This window comes from Homo sapiens, chromosome 1 (assembly GCF_000001405.40).
Source record: "Homo sapiens chromosome 1, GRCh38.p14 Primary Assembly".
Classification (NCBI taxonomy): Eukaryota; Metazoa; Chordata; class Mammalia; order Primates; family Hominidae; genus Homo; species Homo sapiens.
Genome location: NC_000001.11, coordinates 58,758,002 through 58,775,443, shown reverse-complemented (window position 1 = coordinate 58,775,443; position 17,442 = coordinate 58,758,002). Strand labels below are relative to the sequence as shown.

Here is a 17,442-nt window from a genome sequence, read left to right as displayed (position 1 = left end):
CCTGGAGAAAAATGGGCAGGCATCTGAATTGTTCTATTATTGACCATTCTACCAGTTAAGATGTGTGCAGGGGCCAGCAACAGAACATGCAACGTAAACCAGAAGACCAGCTATGAAACAAGTCCACGAGTGGCTAATGTAGTGGCTTAATGACATAATCACGGGTTCAGGTGCCTCCTATCTTTTCATTTCACCATTCTCAGTGTGTCAAGGAAGTTTCTTGTGAGCACTCAAGATACCTGCAGCATTTCCGGCATCATAAGTCAACACAATAGTCACCAGCAATGCAGGAATGTTTACTATCATCTTTCTGTTTTTATTAACAAGAGAAACTTTCCTAGCGGCTCCCCACCTCCACCCCAGTAGACTTGCCCTTTTGTCCCATTGGACAGGAGCAGGTCATATTCCTAGACTCAAAATCATTCATGACTAGGAAATGAACCCACCATGATTGCTTGTACTTTGCCATCTCCTACCTCCTTGAACTTAAGCGAGAGGACTTCTGACTTGCATCAGCCAATGAAATGCAAACAATGGTGACATATCACACCAAGATAGGACGCCTTGAGAGCAACTACAAGATTCAACATCTTCCCTTTTCTTTGCCTTGGCAACTGTGGACACACAGGAATGCAATGTCCATCAGCCTGTGTCCTTAAACGATAGTGATGTGGACAGAGTCCACTCTCCTCTCCCACAACTCCTGACCACCAGCATACCCACAGTGACCATTTAGCATGAGCAAAATCCCCCAAGAATTTGTTGCTTTAAGGCACTGAATTTGAGGGTTGCTTGTTCTTATAGCATTACCTAGTATATTCTAACTCTAGTAGGAACCAACAGTAGGAACGATATCCTCTGGTAGGAACCAATAATGCTTGCTACAAGCATAATAAAAACCGACACGTATATAATATTTATAATAGATACCATTTGCTACATGTCTCCTATGTAGCAGGCATTGTGTTAGGACTTCCAGGGTTGGTGTTAAGGGGAAATGGAGCATCAGGTCTTGTTCAACTTTAGGAAATAAGTGACTTGTAGAAGCTCAAGCTGAATCCAACTCTTCCTGACTCCAAAGAACTGGCTTTGTCCACACAGGACCTTGCTCTTGAATAGTACTGCCATGTAAATTTCTATCTCATTGAACTCTGCAACTTCTCTGCCACACAGGCACTGTTATTTCATTTTGTATATGAGGAACTGAGATTTAGAGAAAAAAACTATCTTGCCAAACTTCAGAGCTAGAAAGACACTAGAGCCTCTGCCCTTCCCACTGTTCCTCACTGCACTTCTGAACAAACACATCAGGAATTGAGGTATTATGAGTTAGGGGAGAGAATTGAGGTATTATGACTCAGAGGCATGCAGATTTTGGAGTGAAGTGCCCCTGCGTTAAATCTAGCCTCTGCCACTTGTAGCTGGGGAGCATGGAGCCAGTCCCTTACCATTGATTGCTAATCCTCAATTTCTTTCTTTGCAAAAATGAGGCCAATCATGGCTGCCACAGAAGGTTGTTGGGAGGAACATACATCTAAAGCACTTATATACAGCAGGCACAGAATAATTAGCTAGTTTTTACTGTCGACTTGTTAATTTAAGAAAAAAAAATCAGGAATACAATCAGGAATACATACACACACATACACACACACACACACACAGCTGAAATAAAAACATTTCCCATTAAGATTCAACGAGGTCTCACAGGGCCTACTTCTTGGTCATATAAGGGCTGGCAGGTCCTCTCTGTGGGCTGGAGAAAAGTTTTGTTTCCCCAGCTGCACTCACGGGGGAATACTCTGCAGGCACTGCATTGTGAACCTGTTTGGCTTGGCTCAGAGGCCTGTCAGCACATTCAGGAAGTGAAGTCAGAAAGAGGCAGGATTTCAAACAGAGCCAGCTGCACACAAATGCCCAGGCAGTGAAATGCCTTATTCGAGCAGGGTGCCTATCAGCCTGGCTTGCCCTAGGTGCTGTCAAAGAAGCCTCTGAGAGTGGCTCTGTGCCAGAAAAGGAAGAAGCAATCACCAGCACCCAGGCTAAGGCCATAGCTTCCACAACAAGGTGGCCTGGGGGCTGTGCAGGGGTCATCTCAGCCAGTCTCCTGCCTTAGGCTCTCTGAGCTTGCTCTAAACCTGAGCTCTCTGAACTTGCTAGGTGGAGGGCCTAATGTTTATCTCCTGGGAGTATTGAAGTCAAGGTGTGAGATTGGGAGAAGAGATGAGGGAAAGGACAGCAAAATGAAGGAATGGGTTACCAGTGTTGGGGAGGGGAGGGAGAGAACTGGATGAAGTGCCTGAGAGGATATGGAATCCTGAGAAAGAACCATGCTGCCACTCTCCAGCCATATTCGCATGCCGAGGAAACAGCATAGTGGCTAAGATCTGAATTCTAATATCAACCTCGAGCTGTCAGTGGGAAAATATTTCACTTGTCTAAGCCTCAGTTGCATTCACTGTGAAATGGAGATAATATAATATCTACTCCCATTGTGTTGCTGTAACGATTAAATAGGTCAATATATGTAAAAGAGCTTACTTAACCTAGTGCCAGCAAATCATAAATGTATCAGTTAGAATTCCATGGTTGCAAGAGGCAGGAAACTTAGTTTAAATGGAAAGGATTTTTATTGAAATATATCAGTCAAAAACCATCATAGATGTAGCTCCAGACATGGCTATATACAGGGTTCAAATGGTATCATCAGGCTTTGATTTCTGTCTGTCACTCAGCTTGCTCTGGAAAGTGTTAGCTTCATCTTCAGTCTCCATGTGGTAGTGTCCAGAAAGTCCCAACTCTCCATCCATAGGGGTCAGAGGGCTACAGCAATTTCTCACAGCCTCCCAGAATTATGCTTCATTGATCTAATTGGGTCACATACACATCCCTGAACCAATCAGTATGGCCAAGGGGTGAAGTGGGATATATTGACCAGCTTAAGTGTAGGTCAAGTGCCCACCTCTGAAACCAAGGTTGTGGAGTCATTCAAAGCACATGGCCAGACAGGGAGGAAAGAGGGTATCTTCAAAGGAAAATCAGGATCTAGGAGGGAGTAGATACTGGGGGGATCAAAAGAAAATGTCAACTACCAGAGCTCATCCATTTAGTGATTATTGTTGCTGTTATTATTATCAAACCTTGCAGACCAGGCTAGAGGTATCTACTGCCTTTCTAAAATTGGGTCACAATGCATTACTCATTATTTACTTTTTGGTCTCTCAATGGGCAATTCTGGTCAATGTCTTCTTAAAGTCTTATCTTAGGAAAGTGAATATCGGGCCAGGCGCAGTGGCTTGCACCTGTAATCCCAGCACTTTGGGAGGCCGAAGTGGGTGGATCATGAGGTCAAGAGATCGAGACCAGCCTGGCCAACATGGTGAAACCTCGTCTGTACTAAACATACAAAAATTAGCTGGGTGTGGTGGTGCACACCTGTAGTCCCAGCTACTCAGGAGGCTGAGGCAGGAGAATTGCTTGAACCAGGGAGTCGGAGGTTGCAGTGAGCTGAGATCTTGCCACTGCACTCCAGCCTGGCAGCAGGGCGAGACTCCGTCTAAAAAAAAAAAAAAAGAAAAGAAAAGAAAAGAAAACGTGGTTCCTTCAGGGGGAGGGGACAAGGTAGGAGGGGAGGCCACAGGGGCAGGTGGTTCCAGATAGTATGTGGTTTAACTTGCCATATCGGAATATAGTACCCTCAAGTCGTCAACAAACTGAGCAGCCAGATGATGGTGAGCAAAGAAAACCCAGGTTTTTTCTGAAAATCACACTAGTTCATTCTTTTTTTTTTTTTTTGGATAACCAAAGTAGTTTTGGTTTTTTTTTTTAATTATTATACTTTAAGTTTTAGGGTACATGTGCACAATGTGCAGGTTCGTTGCATATGTATACATGTGCCATGCTGGTGCGCTGCACCCACTAACTCGTCACCTAGCATTAGGTATATCTCCCAATGCTATCCCTCCTCCCTCCCCCCACCACAGCACAGTCCCCAGAGTGTGATGTTCCCCTTCCTGTGTCCATGTGTTCTCATTGTTCAGTTCCCACCTATGAGTGAGAATATGTGGTGTTTGGTTTTTTGTTCTTGTGATAGTTTACTGAGAATGATGATTTCCAATTTCATCCATGTCCCTACAAAGGACATGAACTCATCATTTTTTATGGCTGCATAGTATTCCATGGTGTATATGTGCCACATTTTCTTAATCCAGTCTATCATTGTTGGACATTTGGGTTGGTTCCAAGTCTTTGCTATTGTGAATAGTGCCTCAATAAACTGCACAGCAAAAGAAACTACCATCAGAGTGAACAGGCAACCCACAAAATGGGAGAAAATTTTCGCAACCTACTCATCTGACAAAGGGCTAATATCCAGAATCTACAATGAACTCAAACAAATTTACAAGAAAAAAACAAACAACCCCATCAAAAGGTGGGCGAAGGACATGAACAGACACTTCTCAAAAGAAGACATTTATGCAGCCAAAAAACACATGAAAAAATGCTCACCATCACTGGCCATCAGAGAAATGCAAATCAAAACCACAATGAGATATCATCTCACACCAGTTAGAATGGCAATCATTAAAAAGTCAGGAAACAACAGGTGCTGGAGAGGATGTGGAGAAATAGGAACACTTTTACACTGTTGGTGGGACTGTAAACTAGTTGAACCATTGTGGAAGTCAGTGTGGCGATTCCTCAGGGATCTAGAACCAGAAATACCATTTGACCCAGCCATCCCATTACTGGGTATATACCCAAAGGACTATAAATCATGCTGCTATAAAGACACATGCACACGTAGTTCATTCTTAAGGCAGAACCATTCCTGTGGTAGTTGCCTCTGCACTACCTTATTTAAAACTGACAATAGCCCATCAAGGTAATTATCACAGGCCTGTTCTCAGGCAAGGAAACTGAGACCTAGAGTCATTACAGAGAATAGCTAAGGCCCCATGACTGCAGGAGGCAGGAGAAGGATTTGACTTTAAGTTCAAGCTCTTGATCATGAAATCAAACCACCTCTGAAGAAGAAAATGAAAAACATTTAAAATTTTATAAAATTCCAATGGCTCAGCAACATCACACTCCCTAGTGATACCTTGACACATAGTAGGTTTACAACAAATGCCGATATTTTTTCCTTCATGTAGAAGGCGAATGGGGAATTACAGGGGCCTTTTTATTTTCTCTCTCATCCATATCTGGGCTTTCTGCCCCTGCTGTTTTAAATTCCATTTGAAATGAAAAAAATACATAACTAAAAACCATCCTCTGCCAAGCCATTTGGATTTAAAACAGATGGGCAGAAACCTGGAAGGAGTCAGGATTCTCCCTAATATATCAAATATTGCAGCCAGCGCCCATCTGAGAGGCTTTGCTGCATTTTGTAAAGAAAACAGGCCATATTTTGAAAACGGATGAGTAAGGTTCACTGTTTTGACTTGTTTCAAGGTCTGGAGGCCAGGGTTGGTTTTGATCTGACAGGTCTGAGTCTTCAACCGTAGGTTATTTCTGTGCAAAGATTCGAAGAGGCAGCACGCTCACCAGGCACAGACCTGAAACCGTGTCCCTTTGAAGACTTCTTCGGTGGGTCTTAAGTGGGATTTGGTGCCCATTGTGGAATCACAGTAATGAACCCAAAACTAATGTTTTTCATTACAACAGCAAATCAGTCAGCCCCTCTGTTTGCTCAGGTGTGCAGCTGTGTGGCCCATGCCCTGATCTCTATACAATAACAAAATAAATATTTTTCGAAGGAAGAAATTAAAGATGAAGGAATGCCACAACTGATGGGGTGGGGGAAGCGAGAGATAGGAGACTCTGGTCTCTTTAAAGTAAGATAATATATTTGCTATATAATCTCTTTACTAATTAGTAAAGAGTCCGTGAAGAAAATAAGAATCTACTAACGAAGTGGCAGGATTCATCCAATCAATTACTAAACACATCCCAACTCCGCAGGGGGCTCCTTGGACTCGAAAAACAGTGCCGGTAGATGGCGCCAGAGGGCAGGTTCCTTGCTTCCCGGGATTTAAAGGATGAGAAAAATCCCAGCCAGCAAATTGGGCTGGGACAAAAGTATGGGTGTCGTCCGCCTTCAGAGGGGACCAAGTATAAACACATTTTTTTTTAACAGAGTGGGGAATCTTATGTGCTGGAAACGTCCTTGCTCCACCAGCCGGAGGCCAGAAAGCGAGCGCCAAACTCTGTTTGCAGGACAGCTCTTATTTCAGCAATGAAGACTAAGGTTCAGCAGGTAGGAGGCCTTGAGAACTAGCACCGAATTTCCAAGAGGCCCACGCTGCGATGGAGCTGCGGAGTGCTTGGCTCAGGGAACTCACTGGATAATGAGACAAGAGACACGTGCGATATTGGAATAAACCCATCCAAACTCATCTACATTAACAGGGGCACCAGCTTACTATGCTGGAGAAGATTTGAAGATCAAGCGTTAGACAGAACTGAGTTGAAATCTTAGATACATGACTTTGGGTAAGTCTCTTTCCTTCACTGGGCAACAGTTTACTTATGCATGGAATAGGTGTCATCGTTGTAAAGGAGGGAAGTGTTGATTTTTGGAAAACGCTTAGCACAGCACTCAATAGTCAGCAACTCTTCCAATCATATCATTAAAACCCATTCATGTGGGAATCAGGATCATGCTGGGTGGGAAAAACAACCTTCTCATTTGTGTTATCCCTGTGCCTATATGTGCTGATTCTCCATGGGCTTATCACAGTATTTTGCATTTTTAAACTTCATGCAGGCCATTAGGTTGGCTACTCCTTTAATGTAAGGGCTACTTTGTAAAGTTCTCTTTGCATCCCCAGCATCTATCACGGTCCCTGGAATGTGATAACATCTGTTAAATACAAAGTTTTTCTTAGGAACAAGTTGTTCCAACCCACCAAGCTGAGTGATTCAGATACAGTATTATGGCCACATCTTTTCCTTCACTGTGCTCAGCAAAGAAAGAAAATACTACAAACTCAGTGATGAAAATGAATTTTGAATTTTTAGCCAAAGACCAAATGGGAGCCAGATGCTGAGCAGCCATCTTCAGGAATGGCCAACTCAACCAGCCAAGGCTCAAAATAAATTCCAAGACGGAATTACAACCTTAGAAGCAATTCTATGATTTTGGTGTCATAGCTGAAGACTTGGACATATGGCATTCTCATCCATGCATGCCAAAAAGAGCGATGGAGATGGAAAGGAGGGAAGGACCTGGACGGAAGCAAATGTCGGGAAGCCAACAAGATCAGGGATGTCAAGCTGGGGCCAATACATAGGAAAGGTGGAGGCCATGGGTTGGCTATCATGAGTCATATAGACTTGGTCACTTAGTAGCCCTTTGATTGGGTAAAGTTACTTGTTTGCTGAGAGGCTTAATCTCTTCATCTATAAAATGGGGTGTATTAGTCAGGATAGGTTAATCTGTGCTGTGGTAACAAACTGAAATCTCAGTGACTTCACAGAACAAAAATTAATTTTTTACCCACCCAAAGTCAAGTCAGTGGGAATCCTCCTACATCCAGTGACTTAGAGATCCCATTTTCTTCTATCTCGTGACACTACTATCTCATCATATGGCTTCCAATGTTACTGTGTCAAGAAAGAGAGAGCTGGAGAAGTTATACTGGCTCCTAGGTGCCTCAGCACACAAGCAATGTATGTAATTTCTGCTTGGAGCTCATTGGTCAGAATAAGACACATGGCCCAACTCAACTGCAATTAAGACTGGGAAATGTGGAAGAGTGGTAGATATTTGGGGAACACTAAATATGCCTGCCCCACAGGGCAATAATTAACTCGATCAGAATTGGATTTCATTGCATAAAACAGAGCAGCTAAATAACTCTTTTAATGGCTTTAAGGAGTTAGAGATTTATTTTGCCTGTTATAAAAAGTCTGGAGGAAGGCACTGTAGCAGCTCCACAGCCATCAGGGTCATAGGCTCCTTCTCTGTTTCTGTTCCACCATTCTTCGCATATGGCTTCCATCCTAAAGTTACTTCATGGTTACAAGGTGCCCTCCAGCTATCATGTCTACACTGCAGCCAATATTTCACAGCAATAAAAGGCACCCTATCAGCATTAAAGAGCTTTGTCTGAAGCTTACCCAGCAACTTCTATTTATATTCTTTGGCTACTCCTAGTTGCAAGGAAAGCTGGGAAATGTAGTCTTTAACATCTGTGAATGGGAGAATGAATACTGGGTAGGCAACTAGCAGTTCATACCAAAATAATATTTAATTCATGGGTTTGTGATGAGTACTGTACAAAAGTTAAAAGCACTGCTCAGGACCTGATCTTTGTAAGTGCCCGATATATGTTAGTTGTGGGGGTCTTTTTTCATTCTTGTTTGTATTAACCAGGTCATCATTTAAGAAACCAGACTTTGGTGACGGCATCTCAGGGACCTGTCAGGGAAATTGATGAGTCTCTCATCTTAGTAGGGAGAACATGGAAGAGCACAGCAGGTTATAAGAGCACCAGGCCTTGGGTTAGGGATTAAGACAGGGAAATGGTCAACACTCAAGAGGAAGGACCAACACAAAATGTCATTCTGCTGGGCTGGGCCAAGCCAGCAGGGAGAAGGAAGGAGGGCAGGCAAAGAGGCAGAATATGGCAGCTATAGGTTTTCCTGAGGTTAACTTTGTTTGAGAGATGTCATTGGCAGAGAAGATAATTCAAGAAAATATTGTGAAAGACCAGAAATTGTCCCAGTGACTGCCTCGGTTGGCACCTGTAAAAGTCAGCATCTCTTGCACTCTTAACTTTGCATCTTTCCCCTTTCTACTCACTGACCTCACTCCATCTCTGCAATGTCACCTCACCTCTTCACTTGATTTCTATCCCCACAAATCTCAGCCCTTCTTACTGCCATTGCTTTTTCCCTCTTTTATTCAGCCTGACTACTTACTTCCTGAGTACTTACCATGAGCCAGACATAATTTTTTGTACTGGGGATACAGTGGGGAATAAGATAGGCAAGGTCCCTTGTTTTATGAAGTCTATGTGATGCTTTGGCCTCTTTCCTCCTTGGAATGATGCCTTCTAGGTAATTCCTCTGGAACTTCTGGAAGCCCCCAGGATTTATCCTTTGGTATCCTGCATGCAACTCACCCACCACCTCTTTAGTCCTATTCCTGAGTATGAAATCAAACCTCATAGTCACTACAACCCAGATATTAGGGAGATGACTTAATTCTAAGTCCCACCCAGTAAAAAATCGAGACTCTTCATACCTCACTTTAGAGTTGGCTCAGAAACAGGGCAGGGTTAAGCCTATGGGTGGAGGCATTAATGGCCTCACCTGGGAAAAGCTGGAGAAGAAAACAGGTATAATTAACAAGGTAGGAGAGACCAACCTGTATAATTTCAAATATTTGGGTAGAAAAGTGAATAGCTTCTTTTGTCAGTTAGGGTTCTTGATTGCAAGCAACATAAATGGACTCTAGGTAACTTAAATAGAAGAGGTGTACTGGAAGGATATGGGGCATTGCAAATTAGATTTGAAGACGCTGAAGTATCAGGCCTCAGAAAGAACAGGATCCAAAGCAGCTCAGGGAATTTGTTTGAGTTCCATGTCTCTGTTAGAGAAAATGATCCCCAGTCATATGTCTATGCTTTTTAACCATATCCAAGAGACAAATTATTCGAAGAGAGAGGGATATTATGGTCCTAGTTTGAGTTACATTTCTACGTCTTCCCATCTGTAGCCCAAATGACAATTTCTACCAAGTCTGTAAGCAAAGGAACCTGGTAGTTTGTTCCCCAAACCAAAATTGAAGTATGCCTGCCAGAATGGGAAGTGAGTGCTGGGCAGGCAGATAACTCAGCTGTCTACCACTCCACTCTAGATAATTTTCTTATTTTCAAACCTATGGGTTTAAGAACATTTTATGAGCTTCCATAAGAATAATTCCTTCTGAAAACATTTTCAATTGTGGGAATCAAGACTGGCTCAGTCCTTAATAGTTGCAATAAACTAGATGCTTAGGCTGGGAATTTGGAGTGGGGCTGATAGAAATAACAATTATAGGTGATTTAACAATCCAAAAATATATTTTATTTTTGTATTGTTTGGGCTTTTACAATCTATTCTACATGTTTATAATTATAATTTTGTTATATTTTAAAAATCAGTAATATAGTCACATGGTTTAGTCACCTTCCTCCATCCTGCTGCCTAGAATGTGGATGTGTCATTTTGAATCATGAAGGCAAAACCCTTGGAATGGCAGAAAAGTGCACTGGAAGGAACTAGGATCTGATGACTTTATGCAATGGGGACATTATGCCAGCCCTGTCCTGTATTGCTCTAGATTTTTATGTAATAGAGAAATAAGCCACTCTCACTTGGCTTTTTTCTGTTATAGCCAAGACTAATCCTAACTGATTCCCTAAAGTTGCACCACCAATAAGTGATGGAGTCTTGATTCTAATTCAATTCCAGGGCCCGGATTTGGGTGAGAAAAGAGGGTGACCCAGAGGGCAAAATTTAAGGAGGCACTCACTTACAGGATTGTGCAAGTGCTGACTCTGTGCCTGTATGACCCTGAGAGTAGGTGCCTCCTGAAATTTTGCCCCTTAGGCACCTACCTTACCCCAGAGGCTCAGCTTCCAGAACCCAGGCTCTTTCAGCCTCAACACACTGACAGGACAAGGCCCAAGGTTGAATCAACCTATTGCTACATCACCATGAAAAAGTAACTGGACTTAGTCAGAAATTTATAATACATTTTTTTGACATTGACTATAAAATGTAAGAGTCAAAAAGTTTCTGAAGCCTCCATTCCATAGCACCCCTGCCATTCTGAGAGCTAGCTTTTATCATTTGCTGGCATGAAAGTGAAGAGCCCTTCTGAAATAACTCACCCTCTCATCCACTCTCCAAGCAGGCAATCTTGTTTATATATCATTTCTCCCACATGAATCATTTGTAGCAAGAGTACAGCTTCCACTTGTCCATGAGAAACGTTCAAAACAATCTTTTCTACTCTACATAAAACCTCAGGAGTAACAATAGGCATTCAGAATGAGGCTGCTATTTGTCAGCCTCTCAAAGTCACGGAACAAATGAAAGTAACTATGAGCCATCAAAAATCATGTTGGGAGAAAAAAAGTTCCTTCTGGTAATCGCTCATTTTTCTGAGCCCCCACCACCCCCCGCCTTCTTCAAAACTGGCTTTTATATTATGCTTCCAGCAGAAACCTCTCTAGTTCCTTCTGCTTCTAGTTCCAAGGTGTTATTTTCACATAAAGCTTCCTGAGATCTGTGCAGAGTCATCATAGGGAGAGGTAGAGGGCTAGTGTGGGGTGCAGGGTTAATTGCCATTTGCATCTTAGGGATCAGAACCCTAAGTGAAAGGTTAGGGGAAAAGGTAGAGTCATTTCTTAATATTTCGTTTATTTGATATGCTGAATTTGTGTTGAGTTCCACAAAGAATTTCCAAAGAATAAATTTTCTGCAGAATCCCTGCAAACCCTTTGAGAATAGAGAAAGGGTAGGGAAGAGACAGGGGCTGGAGAAGTCAACATAAGTAGAGAATGTGGTCTAGATGGTGGCTCGTGAATATCAGACCCTATCCCAAAGGCTTTACGTTAATCCTCACAGCCCACCTTCAAGGTGTTTTTAATCTTCATTTTACAGGTGGGGAAAGTGAAGCTTGGAGAGATTAAGTAACTTGTCAAAAATCACACAACAAAGAATGGCAAGCAGAGATCCAAACTCAGATGAATCTGACTTGGTATCTTTGCTCTTTCAGGTGTTGCCTCGTTGTCTGTGAAAGCTCAGTCAATTTCTTGTTAGAGGAAAGATCAGCATGATGTGAGGAATCAGGCGATTAAGGATCTTGTCCCAGCAGGAGACAGAGCAAAGCTTTCCATTTCCCTGGACCTCAGCGTTCTCATCCGTGTAATGAAAGAGTAGGGCTAGATGGTTCTTAAAGTACTTCTGCTCTCTGATGTATGAGTGTCCATGTCTACATTCATTAAAGGCATCCAACAAAAGAATTAAAATAACAGGAAGGGTGAGCCACAGGCAGGATCCCTCCCTGTGGGTCAGGAGTCCAGGAAATGCCAGAGATAGCCACTGCAGGATAAATAAACTGAGCTTGATATTTTTTGCACTCTCTCATTTTCTCATCACCTTCTTCAGCCCTTGTCTCTACCATCCAGGTATCCTGGCCCTGGCTTTACCACCTTTAGTGCTCCCTCCCACTCGTAGTACCCTATGTGGGCCTTCTTGGATGCCTGCAATGCTGGTTAAAAGGTATAACTTTTTATCTAGCCAAATGGATAGCTATTTTTTGCAAATTATAAGAAGCTGCCCCTCCCACCTGGGTAGACATGACCCTACATGGGGATATGTGTCTTGGCAAGCAGAGAATGGGCTGACTTTCAGCTTCTGCCTTTGTTAATTAGCCAGATGCCCTGGTGTAGTACACAACTCACACAACTGTACACAGCAGTCTTAGAACAAAGCCAAGTGGTGATTCATTTTAGTGAATGGTATTCCATCCATCCAATTATGCATGGCAGAGAGGAACCTAGAAGATATGTTTGACTCTTTTCTTTTTTTCTCCTCCATGTTCAGCCCATTATATTGTTGATTTAGCTCCTATTTATCTCTCAGATTTTTTCATTGCCCTCCATCACCAGCATCCTAGTCAAAAGAACATCATCTTCCTTCTGAACTCAACACTAGCTTGCTAACCGGCCTCCCCCCATGTACTCTGTCCTGCCTTGTGTTCATTCCCATTATTGCAGCCAGAAGATATATGAACTCAACTGTTTTAACACAGAGAGCAGGTTGGAGGATCTTTCCAAAATATAAATATGATCATCACCCTTTCCTGCTTAAAAATTCTCAGCAACTTCTCTTGACTCTTAGGATAAAGACAAGATTCTTTGACTGGGCCTGCTATATCATCAAACCCCTTCTTACTCCTCCAGCTTCATCCTGCATCACCTTCCTTTCATCTCTCTTCTCTCCAGCTCTTCTGGAAAGGAGCCCACACACATGTTATTTCCTCCACCTGGAACCTGGTCTCCCTCCACCTGTTAACTGCTATTCACACCAGGAAGCCTCATGCCTCAGTAAGGCCTTCCCTGATCCTTCTGACATGGCCAACTCCTCTTATAAGTCCTTTAGCAACAAGGGCCCTCTTCCCTTTGCAGTACTCATCACAGTTACACTCCTGCATGTATTTGTGAGGTCACTGAAACTGCCTCTCTCTCCAAAAAGGCTGTAAATTACATGGGACAGGGCCAGCACTCATCACTGTATTTCTGACTCCTGTCATAGTGGACGGTACATAGTCCAGACTTGAAAATATATGCTGAGTGAATGCAGGTTTGCCTGGCTTGGAGAAACCAGTATCTACCAGAAGCCACCCTTTGACAATCCCCAAAGTGATCTACAAGTTTAACTTTCCCAATTTGTGAATGTAAAAGGAAAGGGAAGAAGAGCAAACCACAGAAAATTAGCAGTTGACAAACAGCTCCCTCATAACTAGCCAATTCTGAGTGCATCTTCTATAAAGCATTCTGGCTAGCTGGCTTCTAGCAAATATTTGTTGAATTGATGGAAAAAATGTAATCATTCAAGTCCCAGATTCGGTGCTACATCTGCCAGGAAGCCATTTCTGATGTGTACCAGTCTCCAGAAACAATTTCCCTGTCCCCTAAATGTTCAAAGCATTTCATCCTTCCCTTTCTGATAATACCTTTTATTTTGCAATAGAGTTATTTAGGTATTTGTCTCTCTCTTAGAAATTTAGCACTGGTTCTACTCCGGGCTCTCAGCAAAGGGCATCCGATGGGTATTTCATTGGAAAGGTTCTCTCAATGAGAATTCGTGAGCTCAGATTCATGAATTCAGACGTCCATAGGTAATGACAGGTAGGTAACATGAAGGAATGCTGTAATGATGTAGCTTTGGGGATGGGAGCTGTAGGCACTCAGGGATTCCTGCTTCACCTAGTAGGTCCCCAGTGACTCAGCGCCAGCAATCATTATTGTGTGAGAATGTGGGTCCAGCCTTGTGAGATTTTCTGATTGTTTTTAAAAGAAATCTGGATTTTATTACCTAATTAATCTTTACCCCTACTCAGACCCTCCATCCCCCAATACCTGGCAAGTGTCTGTTTTATAGTACGTACTCAGTTAGGATTTGGGGAATGAGTGAATGAATGAAGACCCAAATGGATAAGTGATACTTGAATGAGCCACTGTCTCTCAGAGGTACACACTGTGAGTTTGAATGTATTTCTGACTTTCCCTTCAAAAAAGATTAGTTAGGACACTTTTAAACCAATTTTCGATCACCAATTAAGGATCTACTGTGAGAAGTCATGTTTTTGTTTCCCATCCCCCTATCAGGTATTTTCAGGTCTGGATGGTCTTGACAGCTTTCTTTTTTTTTTTTTTCCCCTTTCTTTTTTTTGGAGACGGAGTCTCGCTCTGTCGCCCAGGCTGGAGTGCAGTGGCGCGATCTCTGCTCACTGCAAGCTCCGCCGCCGAGGTTCACGCCATTCTCCTGCCTCAGCCTCCCTAGTAGCTGGGACTACAGGCACCTGCAACCACGCCCGGCTAATTTTTTTTGAGTGTGTATTTTTAGTAAAGACGGGGTTTCACTGTGTTAGCCAGGATGGTCTCGATCTCCTGACCTCGTGATCCACCCACCTCAGCCTCCCAAAGTGCTGGGATTACAGGCGTGAGCCACGCGGCGTTCTAATCCAATTCAGAGAAGTTCCAATACCAGATATGTGCCCCAAATCCTCCAAATATTCAAAATGCAGCTCTCAGGACCTGTCATTTGTCACCTATTATATGCCCTTATTATATGGAAACTCAATTTAATAACTGTCAACACTTTCCTTGAGTCACTTGTTTCTATCAAATTGAAAACATTCGGCCGGGCGCGGTGGCTCACGCCTGTAATCCCAGCACTTTGGGAGGCCGAGGCGGGCGGATCACGAGGTCAGGAGATCGAGACCATCCCAGCTAAAACGGTGAAACCCCGTCTCTACTAAAAATACAAAAAATTAGCCGGGCGTAGTGGCGGGCGCCTGCAGTCCCAGCTACTTGGGAGGCTGAGGCAGGAGAATGGCGTGAACCCGGGAGGCGGAGCTTGCAGTGAGCCGAGATCCCGCCACTGCACTCCAGCCTGGGCGACAGAGCGAGACTCCGTCTCAAAAAAAAAAAAGAAAACATTCATAGAAAATCCATCCTTCTTTTCACATCTCCTGACTGAGACGCAGTTTAGATAATTTGACAGGTGAATGACAGACTCAGCTCTTTTGTAATTGTGAGTTACCGTTAGGATTTGGATATTTGTACTAAAATTTGCCCTTGTAATATCAAGCTTTAAAGGAGGGAGAGACTTCAGAAGTTATTTGGTTGAAATGCCAGTTTTACAGATGATGAAACTTGAGTCCAGGGAAAGAAAGCAATCAGCCAAGTGAGTTGTGGAGCTGAGATCCAAACTCAGGTCTTTGGAGTCAAACCACTTACTCATTGTACCCCTACGATATGCCAGATTTCCCAAACACTTTATCATTGGTTATCTCTAGTAACACCTCAAGAAAGGTGTATTATCTACATTTTACAGGGAAGGAAACTGGGCTCAGAAAGTTGGTATGATTTGTCGCAAGTCCTCCCAGCTAATAATAAGTCCTCCAGTTAACAAAGCTGGAATTGAAGCCCAGATCTGTCTGACTTGGAAGATAGAGCTTCTCCTACAACACTATGGTGGTAAAAGTAAAGGGAGCTTTGTGAAGATCACATTGCTACTGAGTGATGGATTTGAGATAAAAAAAAAAAAAAAGAATGCAAATGCTATCGAGAATTCCAAACTAGAGATTTCATCAGTTCCTGGGCCCCTGTCCTCCATACACAACCAGCATCACTTCCTGAATACCTGGACTAAAACCTTCTCAAACTTTACTATGCATACAAATCATCTGGGATATCTTTTGAAAATGTAGTTTCTGATTGAATAGTTTTTGGGTGGGGCCTGAGATTCTGCAGATTTGGAGATTCTTATGTGAGGCCAATAACCCTAATCCTGGGACAACATGGCTTCCTAAATTGAGATTCAGTTTTCAGCAGCCCCACCCCAAGATTGTCAAGCAGCAAAGTCTGTAAGGTGAGGGAGAGCAGTGTGGTTGTAGTGGGAGGGGACACAATGTTTGTTTAGTTATCATTTATCGAACATCTTCACTATGTGCTGGGCATAATGCTAAGGACTTTACAGGTATAACCACATTTAATCCCCACCAGAACCTTATGAGTAACTATTTGTGTCTACATTTTACAGATGTGGAAGCAGACTCGGAGTTTAGGCCAAATTCACACAGCTCTATCCAATTCCAAAGTTCATGTTCTCAACCACAATGACAACTTTCTCCTCAATGAGATTGTTCCCCTTATACCCACAGCAAGTCTGAATGGCACTTTTGAGGGGGAAGGAGTCTTTGTGCAGACATTGCTAAGCTGATGTGGACAGCACAAACCCAACACCGAAGAATATCTTAGACCAGATGTTGATCAACTTGCTAGAGGAATGTGCCAAAGATTCATTCACACCCAGACAGAAATAAGCGTAAACAGCTTGAGTGAAAACTCAGAAATAACTTGCATACTCAACAATTAAATAATGATTAAATAAAACATAGTATGTTAAGCAATGGGCATAATCAATAGGCAATGGATATACAGATTTCAGGTAGGGTGTTTGCTAGTACAGTATGATCTGATTTTTGTTAGAGAAAAGTTGTGTGTGTTTGCATATAGGAAAAAGATTGAAATTAAGTACTCCAAAAATATCTCAGTAACATTTGGATAAGATTATTACTGTTCATGTTTTTCTTGTATTTTCTTTGTATACTTATCTGTTATTTCTCTTTTTTCCATAGCAGGTTGTATCATTTGTATAATAGCTGAAAGAAATAAAGACATAAAAATGCAACAGAAGCCAGAAAAAAAGCTTTAAAATGGCAGATATTAGCTCAAATTATAAAGCTATAAATATTGTAACAACTGAAATTGGGAAATAGACAATTCAGTGGAAGAGAATAGAAAGTCAAAGACCCATAAGATGTGGATATATAAATAACTTACTTTTTCTCTTGGAGTGGGAAGGCTTTCCTAAAAAATAATACAGAACTATTATGCAGAGGCCCCCAAAAATACTATATATTCAGATGATAGACCATTGACCAACAGGTAAATATTTCTAACCTATAAGACAAATAAATAGGACTAATTTTCTTAATATATAATGTGTTCTTATAACTCAGTAGAAAAATTGGCAAAGAATATGAACATCTGTTCTTGAAGAAAGGAGAAAAAGAGCAAGAGAATGGATCTCAGCCATAGAAGCATTTAGGAGGGAGCAGTGTTTACCTGGCGTCCACCTTTGTTG

General features: G+C 42.4%; 2 long non-coding RNA genes across 3 annotated transcripts in view, besides 2 other annotated features; both read right to left on the bottom strand.

The window, feature by feature from the left end:
- Window positions 1,240-1,299: an enhancer, noted in NCBI's record as "active region_1089". NCBI's record gives its function as "activates an Ori minimal core promoter by ATAC-STARR-seq in GM12878 lymphoblastoid cells {active_cell/tissue: GM12878}" and the evidence as "EXISTENCE:reporter gene assay evidence [ECO:0000049][PMID:35858748]".
- Window positions 1,931-2,130: an enhancer, noted in NCBI's record as "active region_1088". NCBI's record gives its function as "activates an Ori minimal core promoter by ATAC-STARR-seq in GM12878 lymphoblastoid cells {active_cell/tissue: GM12878}" and the evidence as "EXISTENCE:reporter gene assay evidence [ECO:0000049][PMID:35858748]".
- Window positions 4,736-14,431, bottom strand: LOC105378751 (uncharacterized). 2 transcript variants are annotated; one of them, XR_007066137.1, is made up of 4 exons: window positions 9,257-14,431; window positions 8,947-9,157; window positions 7,509-7,611; window positions 4,736-6,346 (listed from the first exon to the last, which is right to left on the bottom strand). It is a non-coding gene; the product is annotated as an uncharacterized LOC105378751 (long non-coding RNA). The 2 variants fall into 2 exon arrangements; XR_007066136.1 differs by lacking the exon at window positions 7,509-7,611.
- Window positions 14,432-15,246: 815 nt separating this feature from the next.
- Window positions 15,247-17,442, bottom strand: part of LOC112268263 (uncharacterized) — a 47,142-nt gene continuing 44,946 nt past the window's right edge. Inside the window, exons 8-9 of the long non-coding RNA XR_007066129.1 lie at window positions 17,139-17,165; window positions 15,247-16,957 (exon numbers count right to left, since the gene is read on the bottom strand). This is a non-coding gene — a long non-coding RNA (uncharacterized LOC112268263). The remainder of the gene's footprint in view (window positions 16,958-17,138; window positions 17,166-17,442) is intronic.